Source organism: Homo sapiens, chromosome 5 (assembly GCF_000001405.40).
Source record: "Homo sapiens chromosome 5, GRCh38.p14 Primary Assembly".
NCBI classification, from domain to species: domain Eukaryota; kingdom Metazoa; phylum Chordata; class Mammalia; order Primates; family Hominidae; genus Homo; species Homo sapiens.
In genome coordinates this window covers 40,444,749-40,464,416 of record NC_000005.10, presented here as the reverse complement: position 1 = coordinate 40,464,416, position 19,668 = coordinate 40,444,749, and positions in this window count along the sequence as shown.

Here is a 19,668-nt window from a genome sequence, read left to right as displayed (position 1 = left end):
CAAGAGGGAAAATGTTTTACATTGTTTGCCATAAGGTAGGTTGATAATTGATTACACAAATGGGAGGTAGGGGTGGAAAAGGTAATTACTTACTGTAAGATGAAGTCAGAACACTACGTTATACTTCTGGCTTTTCAATACTTGGCATTGCTCAAATCATTTTATATTTTTATGCACCATCCTTCACGTGTGAGATGGATCTCATCATAAACACATGGCTGTGTGGAGGTATTGTCAGGAATTCCTTATTTGAAGGCTTGTATTTAAAGGGTGGAGGTGGGAATGAAGCCACAGTGTATGCTCATCAATCTTACCATGAACTGTCCTGCGTATTCACAAATCACCACAAATATTCCCATATCATTTTTTCATACTGTTATACTCAATTATAAGGTACAATAAATTTTAAGATATATTATCTATTTAATAATATCTTCAGAAGAAAAGTTTCTATATCAAAGGTACATGCCCAATGAAAGAGGTATCCTGATTTTAGAAACATTAAAATTGACAGATTGTATTTTAGAATCAAGGAAATGTGGTTCAAAACTCCATTATTTTCTCTTTTTAAATAAAATCTGACTCTCCAGGCCACCTAAAAAATAAGTATGAAGAAAGTTCTTGTCTTAGTTTCTGTCTTAGTCAGATATCTGTTGCTCGTAGCAGGATACCTGAAACTGGGTAATTTAGTAAAACAATAACAACAACAACAATAACAACAAAACACATTTCTTACAGTTCTGGAGGCTGGGAAGTCCAGGGGTGAGAGATTGATTCTTATGTGAGTCTTCTCATCCGTGAGGACACTGCAGTCCTGAGGTGCTGCAGGGGATCACAGGGCAATGGGCTGAGCTTGCTATCTCAGGCTCCTCTTCTTCTTATAAAGCCCCCAGTTCCACTCCCATGCTTACCCATTAATCTTTTAACCCATCAATCAGTTAAGCGATGAGTAGATTAATCCATTCATCAGAGAAAAGCCCTGTCAATCCAATCACCTCTTAAAGGTCCCACCTCCCTAAACTGCCACACTGGGGATTACATTTCAACATGGGTTTCAGAAGGAACAACTATTAAATCTATGTAATTCTCCCCCTGGCTCTCCAAAACGTATGTTCTTCTCACAAATACATTAATTCTATTCTTATAGCCCCAAGGTTTTAAAAAATGACACATAATAATTGTACATATTTATGGGGTACATGTGATAATTTTGATACATGCAATGTGTAGTAATCAAAGATAATTAAGATATTTATAACCTCAAGCATTTATCATTTCTTTGTATTGGGAACATTGCAAATATTCTGTTCTAGCTACTTTGAAATATACAGTAAATTATTATTACCTATAGTCACCTTGCTGTGCTATTGATAACTAGAACTTCTTTTTTCTATCTAACTGTGTTTTTAACCCATTAACCAGCCTCTCTTTACCCCTTCCACGAGCCTTCCCAGCCTCTGGTAACTATCATTCTACTCTCTACCTCCATGAGATCAACTTTTTTAGCTCCCATATATGAATGAGAACATGAAATATTTTTCTTTCTTTCCTTGGCACATTTCACTTAAAATAATAATTTCCAGTTCCATTCATTTTGCTGTGACAGAATTTCATTCTTTTTATCATTTAAAAATATTTTATCATGTATATATTCCATATTCATAGATTGATAGACACTGAGGTTATTTTATGTCTTGGTTATTGTGAATAGTGCTGCAATAAATATGGACATGCAGATATCTCTTCAACATACCAATGTTCTTTATTTTGGATATATTCCAGCAGTGGGATTGCTGGATCATATAGTAGATATATTTTTAGTTTTTTGAGGAACCTCTATGTTGTTTTCCATAGTGGCTGTACTAATTTACATTTCTACCAGCAGTGCATAAGAGTTCCCCTCTCTCTAAATCCTTGCTAGCTTTTTTTTTTTTTTTTTTGGCTTTTTGATAATAGTCATTCTAACTGGAGTGAAGTGATAACTCATTGTGGTTTTGATTTGCATTTCTCTGATGATTAGTGATGTTGAGCATTTTTTCCATATGTTTGTTGGTCGTTTTATGTCTGCTTTTGAAAAATCTCTAAGTCTTTTACCCATTTTTAAATTGGATTATTTGTTCTTTTGATATTGAGTTATTTGAATTGCTAATATATTATAGTCATGAACCTCTTGTTGGAAGGATAGTTTGCAAGTGTTTTCTTCCATTTTGTATGTTGTCTCTTCACTCTGTTGATTGCACCCTTTGCTGTACAGAAACTTTTTAGCTTGATGTAATCCCATTTGTCTATGTTTGATTTTGTTACCTGTGCATTTTAGCTCTTATACAAGAAATCTTTTTGCAGATTAATGTTCTGAATTGTTTTCCCATGTTTTCTTCTGGTACTTTCATAGCTTCAGGTCTTGAATTTAAGTATTAAACCATTTTGATTTGAGTTTTGTATATGGTGAAGGATAGAGGTCTAGTTTCGTTTTTCTGCATAAGGATATCCAGTTTTTCCAGTATCACTTATTGAATAGACTGTCTTTTCTGCACTGAATGTTCTTTGTGCCTGTGTCAAAATTGAGTTGGCTGTAAATATGTGGATTGATTTCTAGGTTGTCTATTTTGTTCCTTTGGTCTATGTGTCTGTTTTTATGCTGGTACCATGCAGTTTTGGTTACTAAAGATTTGTAGTACATTTTGAAGTTGGGTAGTGTGATGCTTCCAGCTTTGTTCTTTTTGCTCACAATCCTTTGATTTATTTGGGGTCTTCTGTGGTTCTCTACAAATTTTAGGATTTTTTTTTCTATTTCTGTGAAGAATATTATTGGCATTTTGATAGGCACTACATTGAATCTATAGATTATTTGAATGGTATGAACTTTTTTTTATTTCTTCTTTGTTTATCTGCCCTATCAATGAGTTATATATTTTTGCATGTTTTCATGATTGTGATTATCACCTTTTTGTCTCCAGATGCAGGACTCTTTTCAGCATTTTTTGTAAAGTCAGTCTAGTGATAGATTTCCTTATACTTTTGCTTGTCTGGGAATGGCTTTATTCCTCCCTCAGTCTAAGAAATAGCTTTGTTGAGTATAGTATTCTTGACTGTCAATTTCTTCTTTCAGTACTTTGAATATATCATTTTATTCTCTCCTGACCTGTAAGGTTTCTGAAGAGAAACCTAATGTGAGTCTAATGAATATTCCTTTATATGTGACTTGGTGCTTTTCTCTTGTTTTAGAATTCTTTTTGTCTTTGACTTTTGATATTTTGACTATTTTTTACCTTGGACAGTACCTTTCTGATTGAAATATAGTTTGGGATCTTTGGACTTCCTGGATCTGGATGTTTATATCTGTCTCCAGATTTGGGAAATTTTCAGCTATTATTTTATTAAATAGGTTTTCTATGCATTTTTTCCATTTTTTTTCATTCTGGAATGTCTATAATGAATATTTGTCTACTTAATGGTGTCTCATAAGTTTACAATCTTTTAAGAGCTATTTTCCATTCTTATTTTTTCTAACCAAATAATTTCAAATGACCTGCCTTCAAGTTCAGAGATTCTTCTGTTTGATCAAATCTGCTGTTGAAGCTCTGTGTTGTTTTTTTATTTCATTCATTGAATTCTTTAGTTGCATGATTTGTTTTTTTTCTTTTTTATATCTGTCTTTTTGTTGAATTTCTCATGCATATGTTTTTTCCTGATTTTGTTGAATTGTCTAACTGTATTTTTTATACCTCATTCAGTTTCCTTAAGATCATAATTTTGAATTCCTTTTCTGGTTCTCCATTAATTTTCCTTTTATTGGGGTTTGTTACTAAAAAGTTTTCCTTTAGTAGAGTTACATTTCCTTGCTTTTTCCTGTTTCTTATGTCCTTCCATTGAGTGGAACAATCACCCCTTCCAAACTTTCCAAAGTTAACCCCAAAGTCTTAACTAATACTAGCCCCAACTCAAAAGTCCAAAGTTCAGAATCCCATCTGTGAGCCTGTGAAATCAAGACTAGTTTTTTTTTTTTTTTTTTTTTGAGACGGAATCTCACTGTCGCCAGGCTGGAGTGCAGTGGCGCGATCTCAGCTCACTGCAAACTCTGCCCTCCGAGTTCAAGCGATTCTCCTGCCTCAGCCTCCCGAATAGCTGGGATTACAAGCACCTGCCACTGCACCCGGCTAATTAAGACTAGTTATTAACTTCCAACATACAGTAGTGGTTCAGGCATAAGACAGACACTTCTATTTTAACAGGGAGGAATAGGCAAAGAGAAATGAGTAACAAGCTCAAGCATGTTAGAAACTGAGTAGGACAGACATTAAATCTTTAAGCTGAGGAATGATTTCTTTTGACTCCATGTGTCACCTTCTGGACACACTGGGATGGGGTTTGGGCCCCCAAGGCCTTAGGCAGTCCTATGGGCTTTGCTTGGTGCAGCCCACGTGACTGCTTATGCAGAATAAAGTCCTTTGCCTAAGGCTTCCTTTGGTAGATGTTTCATGCTGCTGGTGGTTCCATAATTCTGAGATCTCAGTGGTAGTCCTGAGTTCCTTAGGCATTACTCTAACAGGGACTCTTGGTGGCAGCTCCAACTTCACATTTCTCCTCTGCTTTATTATACCAGGGATCTTTACAGTAGCTCTGCCTGGGTCTCTAGGCTTTCAGCAACATCTTTTGAAATTTGGGTGGAAGTTGTCAATCTTCCATAGCTCTTGCTTTCTGCAAGCCTGCAGAATTAGTACCACATGGATGTTGTCAAAATTTATAACTTGTACCTTCTGGAGCTGCAGCATGAGCTGCACCTGAGGCTTCTTGAGCCATGGCTAAGGCAGCTGCAGAACTGCTGTGCTGGGGTGTGGGTAGCAGAGTCCCAAAATGGCCCTGACAAGTGAATCTGTGTACTCTGGGGCTGTTCCTTGACACCATTCTGCTCTCCTAAGCCTGTGATGGGAGTGGCATCTTCAAATATCTGGGCAATATCTTTGGGGGTATTTCTTCCATTGTCTTGACAAATAGCACATGGCTGCCTTCTGTCTCTGCTAATCTCCTTAGAAAGTGGTCCATCAGCTACACTCCGTTTCTCTCCTGAAAACATTTTTTTCATTCTTTTTGTGGTCAAATGGTTTTCCAAATTTTTCTGCTCTGCTTCCTTTTTAACTATTAATTCTGTCTTTAAATTATTACTTTGCTCTTGTATCTCAGTGTAAATGGCCAAAGGTAACTATGAATGCCTTCTATACCTTACTTAATTTTTTTTTGTGCCAGATATTCTAGTACATCTTTCTCAAGTTTGGACTTCCACAAAGACCTCAGTCACAGACAGAGTCCAGCTAAGTGCTTTGACAATTTATAACAAGAATGGCCTTTACTTGACTTTCCAATATCTTTTTCCTCAGTTTCTCCTAAAACTTCATCACAATGTTTCCTGCTGACCACATTTCTATCAACATTCTGATCATGACCACTTAACCATTCTCTAAAGTGTTTAAAACTTTCCCTGGTCTTGTCTTCCAAGCCCTCACCAGAATCTGAGCATTTACTAACCAGCTGCTTCAAATTGTTCCAGCCTCTACCCATTATCCAGTTGCAAAGTGACATCCCCGTTTTCACATGTTCATTATTAACAATGTCCTACTCCCAGTGTCAATTTTCTGTGTTAGACCATTTTTGGTTGCTTATAACAGAATACTTGAAACTGGGTAATTTATTAAAAAATATTTTATTTGAATAATTTATTTAAAAAACATTTCTGGAGGCTCGAAAGTTCAAGGTCAGGGGCCCACTTCTGGTGAGGTCTTTCTTATAGTTGGGTACTCTCTGTAGAGTTTCTTTCTCTTATAAAGTCACCAGTCTCAGTCCCATGATAATCCATTAATCTATTAACACATTAGTCTATTAATCCATGAGTCTATTAATCCATAAGTGTGTTAATCCATTCATAAGGACAGAACCCTAGCATCCTAGTCACCTCTTAAAGGCCTCACCTCTCAATACTGCCACATTGGGTGTTATGTTTTAACATAAGTTTCAGAGGGGACAAACATTCAAACCATTGTAGTTTATTTTCTACTGCTATACTAGAATACCATAGGCTAGGTAATTTATTTAAAAAGTGATATATTTGGCTCACAGTTCTGAAAGCTGGGAAGTCCAAGAGCATGGTACTGGCATCTGCTCAGCATATGATGAGGACGTTTTTGCTGCAATGAAATACGGTGAAGGGCAAGAAAGTGCAGGTGAGTGGGAGCTCAACTTTAGAACAAAGCCACTCCCGTGATAACTCACCCACTCCCATGATAATGGCATTAATCTATTCATGAAAGTGGACCTCCCTCCAAGACCTAATTACTTCTTAAAAGCCCCACCTCATAATTCTGTTCCAATGACAAATTTCATCATAAGTTTTGGAGGGGACATTCAAACTGTAGCAGTCCTGTTTCTTTGGTCTCTAGTATCTACCAGGACCATTTGTTGGCTGTGCTGGTGGTCACCAAATCAAGATGTGGTACTTTCTGGGTATCCACAGTATGTGTCATGTTGCAAATTTTTATTTCCCTGCATTAGTAAATATACTTCAACCCAGAATGTTCTGAGCTCATAACAATAAACAAAGATAAAAACAAAAGCTATGAATGCTTTACTAAAATGTAGAATTAATAAAATATCCATTCATTACATAATAAGATGAGCTTGTCTGTCTATTACTATCTGATGACCTTTCAATCTAAGGATCAATTTTTCTTTCCACTTACAAAATCTTTAAAGGAATATAGTAATACCAGAAGATAATGCCAGAATCTATGCCACAGAAGGTTAACATAGGCTATAAACCTACGACGTTTCTGTATTTTTTTTGACACCTGGTTTTATTATGTTTCCATGTGTCACAATAATTAACTTCAGTTGCTTGCTTCTGGTTGAGATATTTTGTTTCTTTGCAGCAAGTTAGAATAAAACTCAAGTCATACGTTTTGTGAGAATAGCAGGATATGGGGGAAGAGACCTACTCTGTGCATTTAAATGTCAGGCACATTGGGCAAGGAAAATATATCGGTCCTGCAGTGTGTTGTTGATTAAAGACCCATTATGTGGTCTTCCAAAGCCCTTCTGCTATGGTTCTCTTCTGAAGCAGGGTGCGTGCAGAGCCTTTTCCAATTAGGCATATTATGTTCCTTTCCAAAGATTCTGGCACTTGGTCTGAGAAGGATGTTTTAGACACCAAAGACAGGCACAAGTTATAGGAAAAAGCTCGTGAGTAATTTTTTTACCCCTTCAATTAGTCTTAATTGAAAACTAACAGTGTGTTAAAAAATGGAATTTCCACAACGAGTTTTCTTGGCATTAAACAAAAAGGTGTTTTGTGACATTTTACATGCTGAGGATTAGAGTCCATTTCAAGTCGTATTTATTTGTTTTTATCACATAATCCTCACAGTCATTCCCATTATAGTCCTTTGTTACCTATTGACCCTGTAACTTGGTACTTTCTTTTGCTGGAATAAAGCCTGTTTCTTCCAGTCATTTTCGTTACCCTCCCTTATGCATGAGGTCCATGCCTGCCTGGTTTTACTAATTCCATTTCTTTCTTTGGATTATGTTCTAAGATTTCTAAATTTCTCTTTTTATTATTTTTTAAATGCCAGCTCTTGTCTGATCTCTTCCCTGAAACCTATCTCAATTTATTTTACTCATGGAGATGTATCTTTGTTCTGAATTCTCAGGAATTTATTGTTTTTATCTCACATTTAACATTTGATTATACTAGTTTGTGTTGTTTTCCAACTGGTCTCTGTGTTTGTTCTGTATTTTCAACAATCTATTAAGCTCCTTGAGGGCAGATAAAATATCGTATATTGCGTTTGTAAGCTCAATAGCACTTAACATATTATTCAACATATAGAAATATCCCAACATTAGATAAGTTGAATTGAGCTTTTCTTTCAGGTTTTGAATTTACAAAAATGTTCTCATTGAAATTGTCTAACAAGTAGCTGAAAAAGCGTTGGTGTAAAAAATAGATGAATATCAATAAGATGGCATTATTATATTATTATGTCTCATTGAATAATGTTAAGTGCCTAGATATGCGTGGGATTAGAGTAGGCACAAATTATTCAAAAGACAGAATTTCTGCTCTCTAGAAACTTGTATTTACATAAACATCGCACCTAATGAGCATAACCCACTTTTAGAAGGGCCAGGATTTATAATAAATTATGTTATTTTCCTATATAACATTTGTAGACAGCCATGAAATGATCTGGCTGGGCAAATATAGTAAACATATTCACACAATCATTTGTGATATATTGTCTATACATATGTTTTAGGAAATGCATGCTGGAAAACTCTTAATTGAAACCACTGATTTATGAGACTAAGTATGAAATGAAGAAATAGAACAGAGGAAAGGCCTTGGAACAAAAATTAAGTCTGGTTTGTAATATATTCAGAAATTTATCATTACAAGATCAAATGTATTGATTTGAAAACCAGTGTTTTTCTTTCTTTTACTGCAAGAATGACAAGTTTTGGTGTTAAATTTATAACAATATTGCTTCATTCCAATATCAATTGCTTGCATATGATTAATATTCACATTGCCTTTTCTGGGTTGTACCTCAAATATTCAATCTGTATTTAGATGTTTGAGAACACAAGGGATGATGAGAATACAGTTGAGTTATTCTTTTTAATACAGTCCCTCAGAAAATTAAAGCATAAAAGACAACTTCATCTTCTTCCATCTCTACATTTGTCTCTGGGCACAGTCATACAAAGATTGGTTTTGGAAAAAAAGGTTATTGTCTGCTTCAGTGGTTTATGATGTTGCAAGCTTTCCAGTATGTCTCCTCAGTATTTTCAGGGAAGGGAGGCTGTTTTATCTCAATATTGAAATGTGTTTTTCAATAGTGAGAAGTAAAAAAGGTGCAAGTGATGAAGTGGAATAACTTATCATGACTTCCTTGAGAAAACTTGTCGAGTGTTTACATTTTTCTCACTGTACTTTGAGACATTTATGTTTTCCCTAATTAGATTTCAGGATGGTCCCAACTGCCTCAATCACTTAAGGTAGATAAATTCCTTAACTGTAATGGCATCTTTCCCCTTCATGTTCATTTTCTTCCTTATGCATCAGAAATGATTTTAAGTTTCTGTTTTGTTCCCTTTCTCCTCTCAGTACTTTTATTCCAAATTTATTTTCTTACTTAGTGTACTAATGTCTCTTTAGTCTTTGGAGAGCTAATCAAGGATTAATCAATCTTCTCCACTGAGTCAGACTTAGCTACTTTACATTTTTTTGTGTCTTGTGCAAAGAGTATGAATAATATTGTTCTAGGGAAGACTTAAGGCTAAATTTCTTAACTATTTTGGGTTGAAGGACTTCTTTGAGAATATAAAAATTGCTATAGTTTCTCTGTAATTCCAAGGTGTACAGAAAAATGTTGACATATATTTCACATGCTGCATAGGCTCCTCACACTTCCCAGGTCTGTTATAGACACCAGATTAGGAAGGCCCAAGTGATATGATCCCACTACTGGCAATGTATCCAAAGAAAATGAAATCAGTGTGTTAAAGAGGTGTGTGCACTCCCATATTCATTGCAGTGCTATTCACAACAGTCAAGACATGGAGTCAACCTAAGTGTCCAGTGGATGAATGGATAAAGAAAACATGGTATATATCCACAACGGAATACTATTCATCATTTAAACAGAAAAAAATCCTGCCATTTGGAACAACAAGGATGAAACTGGAGAATGTAATATATAAACATTATATTAAGTGAATTAAGCCAGCCACAGAAAGGCAAATATTGCATGATGTCATTTACATGTGGAATCTAAAATACTTGAACTAATGGAACTAGAGAGAAAAATGGCTATCAGGGGTGGATGGGGAGGGGTCAGTGAGATGTTGGTCACAAGATACAAAATTTCAGTTAGACAGGAGAAGTAAGTTCAAGAGATCTATTGTACAACATGGTGACTATAATAACAATGTATTATATTCTTAAAAATTGCTAAAAGAGTATATTTTAAGGTTCTCATCACAAAAAATAAGTATGACATTGGGGCAGGGCGAAGATGGCTGACTAGAAGCAGTGGCGATTGGAGGCCCCCATCAAAAAGAACCATAATAGCATGTGAATCCTGCAGAAGCAACTGAGGTATCCAGGTTCTCTCACCAGAACTGACTAGGTGGCTGGTGTAACCCATGGAAAAGAAGGAAGAAAGGTGTGGTGCAGCAGCTGACCTGAGGGACACACAAGGGAGGGGAGCCTCCAACCCCCAGCCAAGGGAGGTGGTGAGTGAGTGTTCTACCCAGCCAGGGAAACTGTGCTTTTTCCATGGAAATGTGCAACCCATGGATTGGAAGATCCCACTCGTGAACCCATGTCACTGGGGCCTAGGGTCCCAACCCCAGAGGCACACATATTCTCAACAGCATCTCAGCTAGAATCTGCTTAAGCCTGCCAAGTTCCCAGGGGGAGAGGCAATGAGCACCACAGCTGTGGCTGCCTGTTGTCTAAGCCCTTTGAGCTCCTTGGGGGAGGGGCAGCACCCAGCACTGGGACTGATAGCTGCCTAACATGCTAACCTCCCTGGGTGGAAGAAGGGGGGCAGCTATCTCTATAGCTCCAGGCCACCCTTTTCCCCTGCTGGAGCCAAGGAGACTGGATGGCTTGGTCCCATGAGGTGTCCCACACAGGCCAATACACTGGCTGTGGCAGACTGTGACCAGAATGCCTCTTCAGGCCTGATCCTGACCCATCCCTTTTCACTGGGTGAGGCCTCCCTGAAGAAACTCCAACAATTCCAGCCAGGGGCTCAGGGACAGATTTCTCATCTCCCTGGGCCTGAGCCTCTAGGGAGAAGGGTGGCCTCAGTCTCTGCAGACCAGCAGACTTAGCCTTTCCTCCTGGTAGTTCTGAGGAATCCAGACAGCCCAGATAAGTGGGTTCCCCCCAGCGAAGCACACTTCCTCCACCAAATCACAGTCAAAGTGCTTCATTAACTGGGTCTTGTTCCCTGTGCCACCCAACAGGGTGAAACCCTCCAACAAGGGTTGTCAGACACCCTATTCAGGAATGATCATACTGGCATCAGTTTGAAGTCCCTTGCAGCCAGAGATCCCAGAGGAAGGAGCAGGTACCCGTCTTTGTTGTTCTCCAGCCCCCTTGAGTGACATCTCCAGTTGTGAGAGTGAACCAAATAAATAGGGCCTGAAGTGAACCCCCAGCGAACTGCAGCAGCCCTACAGAAAAGGGACCTGACCATTGAAAGAAAAACAGAAAGCAACAACAACAGCATCAATAACATAAAAAGTCCCCATAAAAACCCCATCCAAGGGCCAACAGCCTCAAAGATTGAAATTAGACAAACTCATGAAGATGAGAAAGAATCAACCAAAAAAGCCACTGAAAACCCAAAAGGCCAGAATGCCTCTTCTCCAAATGATCACAACACCTTTCTAGCAAGGGCGCAGAACTGGATGGAGGGTCTGATGCATGAATTGACAGAAGTAGGCTTCAGAAGATGCGTAATAACAAACTCCACTGAGTTAAAGGAGTATGTTCTAACCCAATGCAAAGAAGCTAAAAACCTTGATAAAAGGTTAGAGGAGCTGCTACCTAGAATAACCAATTTAGAGAGGAATGTAAATGACCTGATGGAGTGAAAAACACAGCATGAGAACTTTGTGAAGCATACACAAGTATCAATAGCTGAATTGACCAAGCAGAAAAAAGGGTATCAGAGTTTGAAAACCACCTTGCTGAAATAAGGCATGCAGACAAGATTAGAGAAAAAAGAATGAAAAGGAACAAACAAAGCCTCTGAGAAATATGGGACTATGTAAAAAGACCAAACATACCATTGATTGGAATACCTGAAAGAGATTGGGAGAATGGAAATAAGCTGGAAAACACACTTCAGGATATTATCTAGGAGAACTTCCCCAACCTAGCAAGACAGGTCAACATTCAAATTCAGGAAATACAGAGAACACCCCTAAGATACTCCATGAGAAGATCAACCCCAAGACGTATAATCATCACATTCTCCAACGTCAAAATGAAGGAAAAAATGTTAAGGGCAGCCAGAGAGAAAGGCAAGGTCACCTACAAAGGGAAGCCCCAAGACTAACAGTGGACTCTCAGCAGAAACCTTACAAGCCAGAAGAAGGTGGGAGCCAATTTTCAACATTCTTAAAGAAAAGAATTTTCAATCCAGAATTTCATATCCAGCCAAACTAACTTCATAAGTAAAGGAGAAATAAAATTTCCAGACAAGCAAATGCAGAGGAATTTCATCACCATGAGGCCTGCTTTGCAAGAGCTCCTAAAGGTAGCACTAAATGTGGAAAGAAAAAACTGGTACCTTCCACTGCAAAAACACACCAAAATATAAAGACCAATGACACTATGAAGATATTGCATCAACTAGTGTGCAAAATAACCAGATAGCATCATGATGACAGGATCAAATTCACACATAACAACATGAAACTTAAATGTAGATGGGCCAAATGCCCCAATTAAAAGACACAGATTGGCAAATTAGATTAAGAGTCAAGACCCATTGGTATGCTGTATTCAGGGGACCCATCTCACATGCAAAGACATACATAGGCTCAAAATAAAGAGATGGAGGAAAATTTACCAAGCAAATGGAAAGCAAAAAAAAGCAGGGGTTGCAATCCTAGTCTCTGACAAAATACTTTAAACCAACAAAGATCAAAAAAGACAAAGAAGTACATTACATAATGGTAAAGGAATAAATTCAACAAGAAGAGCTAATTATCCTAAGTATATACACACCCAATACAGGAGCACCCAGATTCATAAAACAAATTATTAGAGGCATACAAAGAGACTTAGACTCCCACACAATAATAGTGGGAGGCTTTAACACCTCACTGTCAATATTGGATCAACCAGACAGAAAATTAACAAGGATATTCAGGACTTGAACTCAGCCTCGGATCAAGTGGTCTTAATAGACATCTACCAAACTTTCCACCCCAAATCAACAGGATATACATTCTTCTCAGTGCCACATGGCACATATTCTAAAATTGACCACATAATTGGAAGTAAAACACTCCTCAGCAAGTGCAAAAGAACAGAAATCATAACCAACATTCTCTCAGACCACAGTGCAATCAAATCACAACTCAGGATGAAGAAACTCACTCGAAACCACACAATTACATGGAAATTGAACAATCTGCTCCTGAATGACTCCTAGGTAAATAATGAAATTAAGGCAGAAATCAAGAAGCTCTTTGAAACCAATGAGAACAAAGAGACAATGTACCCGAATCTCTGGGACATCACTAAAGCAGTGTTACGAGGGAAATTTATACTACTAAATGTCCACATTGAAAAGCTAGAAAGGTCTCAAATTGACATTCTAACATCACAACTAAAAGAACTAGAGAACCAAGCACAAACAAATCCAAAAGCTAGCAGAAGACAAGAAATAACTAACATCAGTGCAGAATTGAAGGCGATAGAGACACAACACCTCACCACCCCTGGCCAAACAAATTAATCCAGGAGCTGGATTTTGAAAAAATTAACAAAATAGATAGACCACTAGCTAGACTAATAAAGAAGAAAGAGAGAACAATCAAAAAGAGACAATAAAAAACTGATAAAGGGGATAGCACCACAGACCCCACGGAAATAAAAACTACCATCAGAGAATACTGTAAACACCTCTATGCAAATAAACTAGAAAATCTAGAAGAACTGGATAAATGCCTGGACACATACACCCTCCTAAGACTAAACCAGGAAGAAGTCAAATCCCTGAATAGACCAAGAGCAAGTTCTGAAATGAAGCAGTAATTAACAGCCTAACAAACAAAAAAAGCCCTGGACCAGATGGATTCACAGCCAAATTCTACAAGAGGTACAAAGAGGAGCTGGTACCATTCCTTCTGAAACTATTCCAAACAATTGAAAAGGAAGGACTCCTACCCAAATCATTTTATAAGGCCAGCATCATCCTGATACCAAAACGTGGCAGAGACACAACAAAAATAGAAAACTTCAGGCCAACATTGATGCGAAAATCCTCAATAAAATACTGGCAAACTGAATCCAGCAGCACATCCAAAAACTTATCCACCATGATCAAGTCAGCTTCATCCCTGGGATGCAAGGCTGGGTCAACATACGCAAATCAATAAATGTAATCCATCACATAAACAGAACGAAATACGAAAACCATATTTATCTCAATAGATGCAGTAAAGCCCTTTGATAAAATTCAACATCCCTTCATGTTGAAAACTCTCAATAAACAGTTTGGTATTTGTGGAACATATCTCAAAATAATAAGAGCTATTTATGACAAATGCACAGCCAATATCATATTGAATGAACAAAAGCTGGAAACATCCCCTTTGAAAGCGGATACAAGACAAGGATGCCTTCTCTCACTACTCCTATTCAACATAGTATTGGAAGTTCTGGCCGGGGCAATCAGGCAAGATAAAGTGATAAAGTGTATTCAAATAGAAAGAAAGGATGTCAAATTGTCTCTGTTTGCAGACAACATGATTCTTTATTTAGAAAACCCCATCATCTCAGCCCAAAAACTCCTTGAACTGATAAGCAACTTTAGCAAAGTCTCAGGATACAAAATCATTGTGCAAAAATCACAAGCATTCCTATATAGCCACAATAGACAAGCAGAGAGCCAAATCATAAATGAACTCCCATTCACAATTCCTACAAAGAGAATAAAATACCTAGAAAGACACCTAACAAGGGATGTGAAGGACTTCTTCAAGGAGAACTACAAACCTCTGCTCAAGAAAATAAGAGAGGACACAAACAAATTGAAAAACATTTCATCCTTATGGATAGGAAGAAACAATATCATGAAAATGGCCATACTGCCCAAAGTAATTTACAGATTCAATGCTATTCCCATCAAACTACCATTGACATTCTTCACAGAATTAGAACAAACTACTTTAAATTTCTTACGGAACCAAAGAAGAGCCCCTATAGCCAAGACAATTCTAAGCAAAAAGAACAAAGCCAGAGGCATCACGTGAGCTGACTTCAAACTAAACAACAAGGCTACAGTAACAAAAACAGCATGGTTCTGGTAACAAAACAGACATATAGACCTATGGAACAGAACAGAGACACCAGAAATAACAAGACATATCTAAAACCATGTGATCTTCAACAAACCTGACAAAAATAAGCAATGTTGAAAGGATTTCCTATTCAATAAATGGTTCTGGGAAAACTGGCTAGCCATATGCAGAAAATAGAAACTGGACCCCTCCCTTACACCTTATACAAAAATTAACTCAAGATGGATTAAAGACTTAAATGGAAAACCCAAAACCATAAAACCCCTAGAAGAAAACCTAGGCAATACCATTCAGGACATAGGCATGGGCAAGGACTTCATGACTAAAATGCCAAAAACAATTGCAACAAAAGCCAAAATTGACAGGCGGAATCTACTTAAACTAAAGAGCTTCTGCACAGCAAAAAAAACTATCATCAGATTGAACAGGCAATGTACAGAATGGGAGAAAATTTTTGCAATCTACCCATCTGACAAAGGACTAATATCCAGAATCTGCAAGGAACTTAAACAAATTTACAAGAAAAAAACAAGGCCATCAAAAAGTGAGCAAAGGATATGAAAAGACACTTTTCAAAAGAAGACATTGTGCAGCCAACAAACATGAAAAAAAGCTCAACATCCCCGATCATTAAAGAAATCCAAACCAAAACCACAATGAGATACCATCTCACACCAGTCGGAATGGCGATTATTAGAAAGTCAGGAAACAATAGATGCTGGCGAGGCTGTGGAGAAATAGGAACAGTTTTACACTGTTGGTAGGAGTGTAAATTGGTTCTACTATTGTGGAAGACAATGTGGTGATTCCTCAAGGATCTAGAACCAGAAATACCATTTGAGCCAGCAATCCCATTACTGAGTATATACCCAAAAGAATATAAACCATTCTACTATAAAGACACATGCACACATATGTTTAGTACAGCACTATTCACAATAGCAAAGTCATGAAACTAACCCAAATGCCCATCAGTGATAGACTGGATAAAGAAAATGTGGTATATATACACCATGGAATACTATGCAGCCATAAAAAGGAATAAGATCATGTCCTTTGCAGGGACATGGATGAAGCTGGAAGCCATCATCCTCAGCAAAGTAACACTGGAACAAAAAGCCAAACATCATATGTCCTCCCTCATAAGTGGGAGCTAAACAATGAAAACATATGGACACAGGGAGGGGAACAAGACATGCTGGGACCTGTTGGGGGGGTGCAGGGCAAGGGGAGGAAACCTAGATGATGGGTCAATAAGTACAGCAAACTACCATGGCACATGTAGACCTACATAACAAACCTGCATGTTCTGCACATGTATCCCAGAACTTAAAATAAAAAATAAAATAAAATAAGATCATGTACATTAAAAAATGATAAGTATGTCAGGTAATACATACGCTAATTAGCTCGCGTCATTCCATAATGTATACATATTTCTAAAATAAAATGCTGTGCATAATATATATAATTTTATTTGTTAATTAAAAAATAGATCAATGTTAAAAACAAAACAAAACACAAAGAAACCCCACATGGCCTTAGGCCATGAAGGGCTCTATTTCTTTCTCATGGTAGATTTTAACTCTATAATGGCCATGTGGCTAGGTAGGTAGTTGGTTAAAGTAAGCAGGAAGAAATGAATTCCATATCAATAACTTTGTGTTTGTGATGAAATAAGAACAGCAGCCTCTAGGGAATGTGGTGGATTAGTCACATAAAACAGTTTTCATGTTTTTGTGTTTCTAGTGTGGATTATTTCAGTGATAACAAAGACTCTGAAGACCACATACCTATTCCATAGCAGCATGCTGTAGCAAACGTCTGTTCAGTATATTTAAAAACTTAAGTCTCACTGGAATTAATTTGATAAATGAGAAGAAAAGTGATAAGATGTTAGGTTTATGTTAAATATCATGGTAAAATTATTGACTCATAGGAAAAAACTAATGTAAGGTCTTGAAATATAAGTATTTATTCATATAATAAAATTAACTCACAAGGTAATTTGCATTTTGGAAAATTCTCATCCAGAGAGCAGTCATTGGAAAGTGGGCTTATAAGATCTCTCAGAGTAGAGAGCTGTCTGTCTGAGAAAACATGCCCTTGAAGAAAGAGCACCAGACTGGATGAGGAGTCAGGAGGTATGTTGACTCTGACTGGTGCTGTCAACATAGGATGACTCATGCTGGCTCACCCAGGATTTTCCCAGTATTTGCACTGAGAACTGTCTTCTTCCCTCCCATTGGTTATCGTTTTCCCCATCCCACTACCTCCAAGTCCTGGGTCAACCAGTGTAGTGGGTCAGCAGTTAGGTGCATGATCTTGAATTAGACACTCAATTTACCAGTTTTGGGTTCCTCATGTGTAAAGCAAAGAGGATGGATTAGATGTTGATATAGTTTTGCTGTGTCCCCACCTAAATCTTATCTTGAATTGTAGTTCCCATAATCCCTGCATGTTGTGGGAGGGACCAGGTGGAGGTAATTGAATCATGGGAGTGGTTTCCCCCATGCTGTTCTCGTGATAAATGAATTTCATAAGATTTGATGGTTTTATGAACTTCTGGCATTTCCCCTGCTTGTGCTCATTCTCTCTCCTGCCGCCCTGTGAAGAGGTGCCTTCTGCCATGATTGTAAGTATCCTGAGGTTTCCCCAGTCATGGGGAACTGTGAGTCAATTAAACCTCTTTTCTTTTCTTTCTTTCTTTTTTTTTTTTTTTTTTTTTTTTTTGAGATGGAGTCTTGCTCTGTTACCCAGGCTCTGGAGTGCAGTGGCATGATCTCTGCTCACTGCAAGCTCTGCCTCCCAGGTTCACGTCATTCTCCTGCCTCAGCCTCCCAGGTAGCTGGGGCTACAGGCGCCCGCCCCAACGCCCGGCTAATTTTGTTTTTGTATTTTTAGTAGAGACGGGGTTTCACTGTGTTAGCCAGGATGGTCTGGATCTCCTGACCTCGTGATCTGCGCGCCTCAGCCTCCCAAAGTGCTGGGATTACAGGCGTGAGCCACCGCGCCTGGACTAAACCTCTTTTCTTTGTAAATTACCCAATCTTGGGTATTTCTTCATAGCAACATGAGAATGGACTAATACAGATGTCTGAAGCTCCTTGCAGGTCTAACATAAGAGTTTATCTCAAAGTCATGATCTTTCTTGTTCTTATTTAATTTTTATTTTTTTTGAGATAAATTCTCACTCTATTGCCCAGGCCAGAATGCAGTGGTGTGATCTCATCTCACTACAACCTCCGCCTCCCAGGATCAAGCAATTCTCCCACCTCAGTCTCCCAAGTAGGTGGGACTACAGGCACGCACCACCACGCTTGGCTAATTTTTGTATATATATATATATATTTTAGTAGAGATGGGGTTTCACCATGTTGGCCAGGCTGGTTTTGAACTCCTGACCTCAACTGATCTGCTTGTCTTGGCCTCCGAAAGTGCTGGGATTATAGGTGTGAGCCACCATGCCTGGCCCATTATCTTTCTTTTCCATTAATCTATCTGCTTTCTCCTTCAAATAACCATGAAAATCTTAGAGATTAAGTCCTCCTTTGTCTTTGTATTCTATTTTTTAATTTATACCAAATCAATTCAGCACCAGGATTTCCTTCAGAGAATCAAGCATTACTCTCAAAGATTGGCAATTGAGATAAGATAAAGAATTAAGTTAGCATGTTTGTAGAAAATGCAACAAAATCTATTGTTCACTATAACCTAGGCAATCTGCTAATACAAACTCCAAAATTGCCCACATACTCTGAATTGAGAGAATAGGAAGAGGAGTTGCAAAGAGAAGCTTTCACAGACAGCAGAGAACTGGGTAGGTTTCTAAAGCTTGTTTAGTGTTAAGCTTTTTTTTTAAAGATTTGTTGAGATGTAATTCAAGTTATCATGTAATTTACCAATTGAATGTGTACAAGTCAATGTTTTCCTGTGTATTCAAAGACATATGCAACCATCAACACAATTTAAAAAAATTTCATCACTTCCAAAAAAAAAAAACCCTTTATCTTTCCGCTATCACCTCCCAATCCTCCTATCCTTCCATACACTCAGCTTTGAGTAACCATGATTAGTAAAGTACTAACTGTGTATTAATGCTTTACCTTCTTATTGCTGAATAATATTCCAATGTATGGACTTACCACATTCATTTATCCTTTCATTAGTTGATGAACATGTGCATTGTTTCCACTTTTTGGCTCTTAAGAATAATGCTTACATGAACATCCATGTCCAAGTTTTTGTGTGGACACATGCTTTCATTTCTCTTGGGTATATATCTGGAAGTGAAATTCTGGGTTATGTGGTAATCCTGTTTAACTACTTGAGGAACTTTCAAACTGTTTTCTAAAGTGGTCACACCAATTTACATTCCCATATTCTCATACGTGTATGAAGGTTCTTATTTCTCCACATCTTTGCCAACACTTGTTTTTAACTGAACTTTGTAATTCTAGCCATCCTGGTAGGTGTGAAGTGGTATCTCATTGTGATTTCTATTTATATTTCCATGATAACCAATAATTTTGATAATTTTTCATGTGCTTATGAGCCATT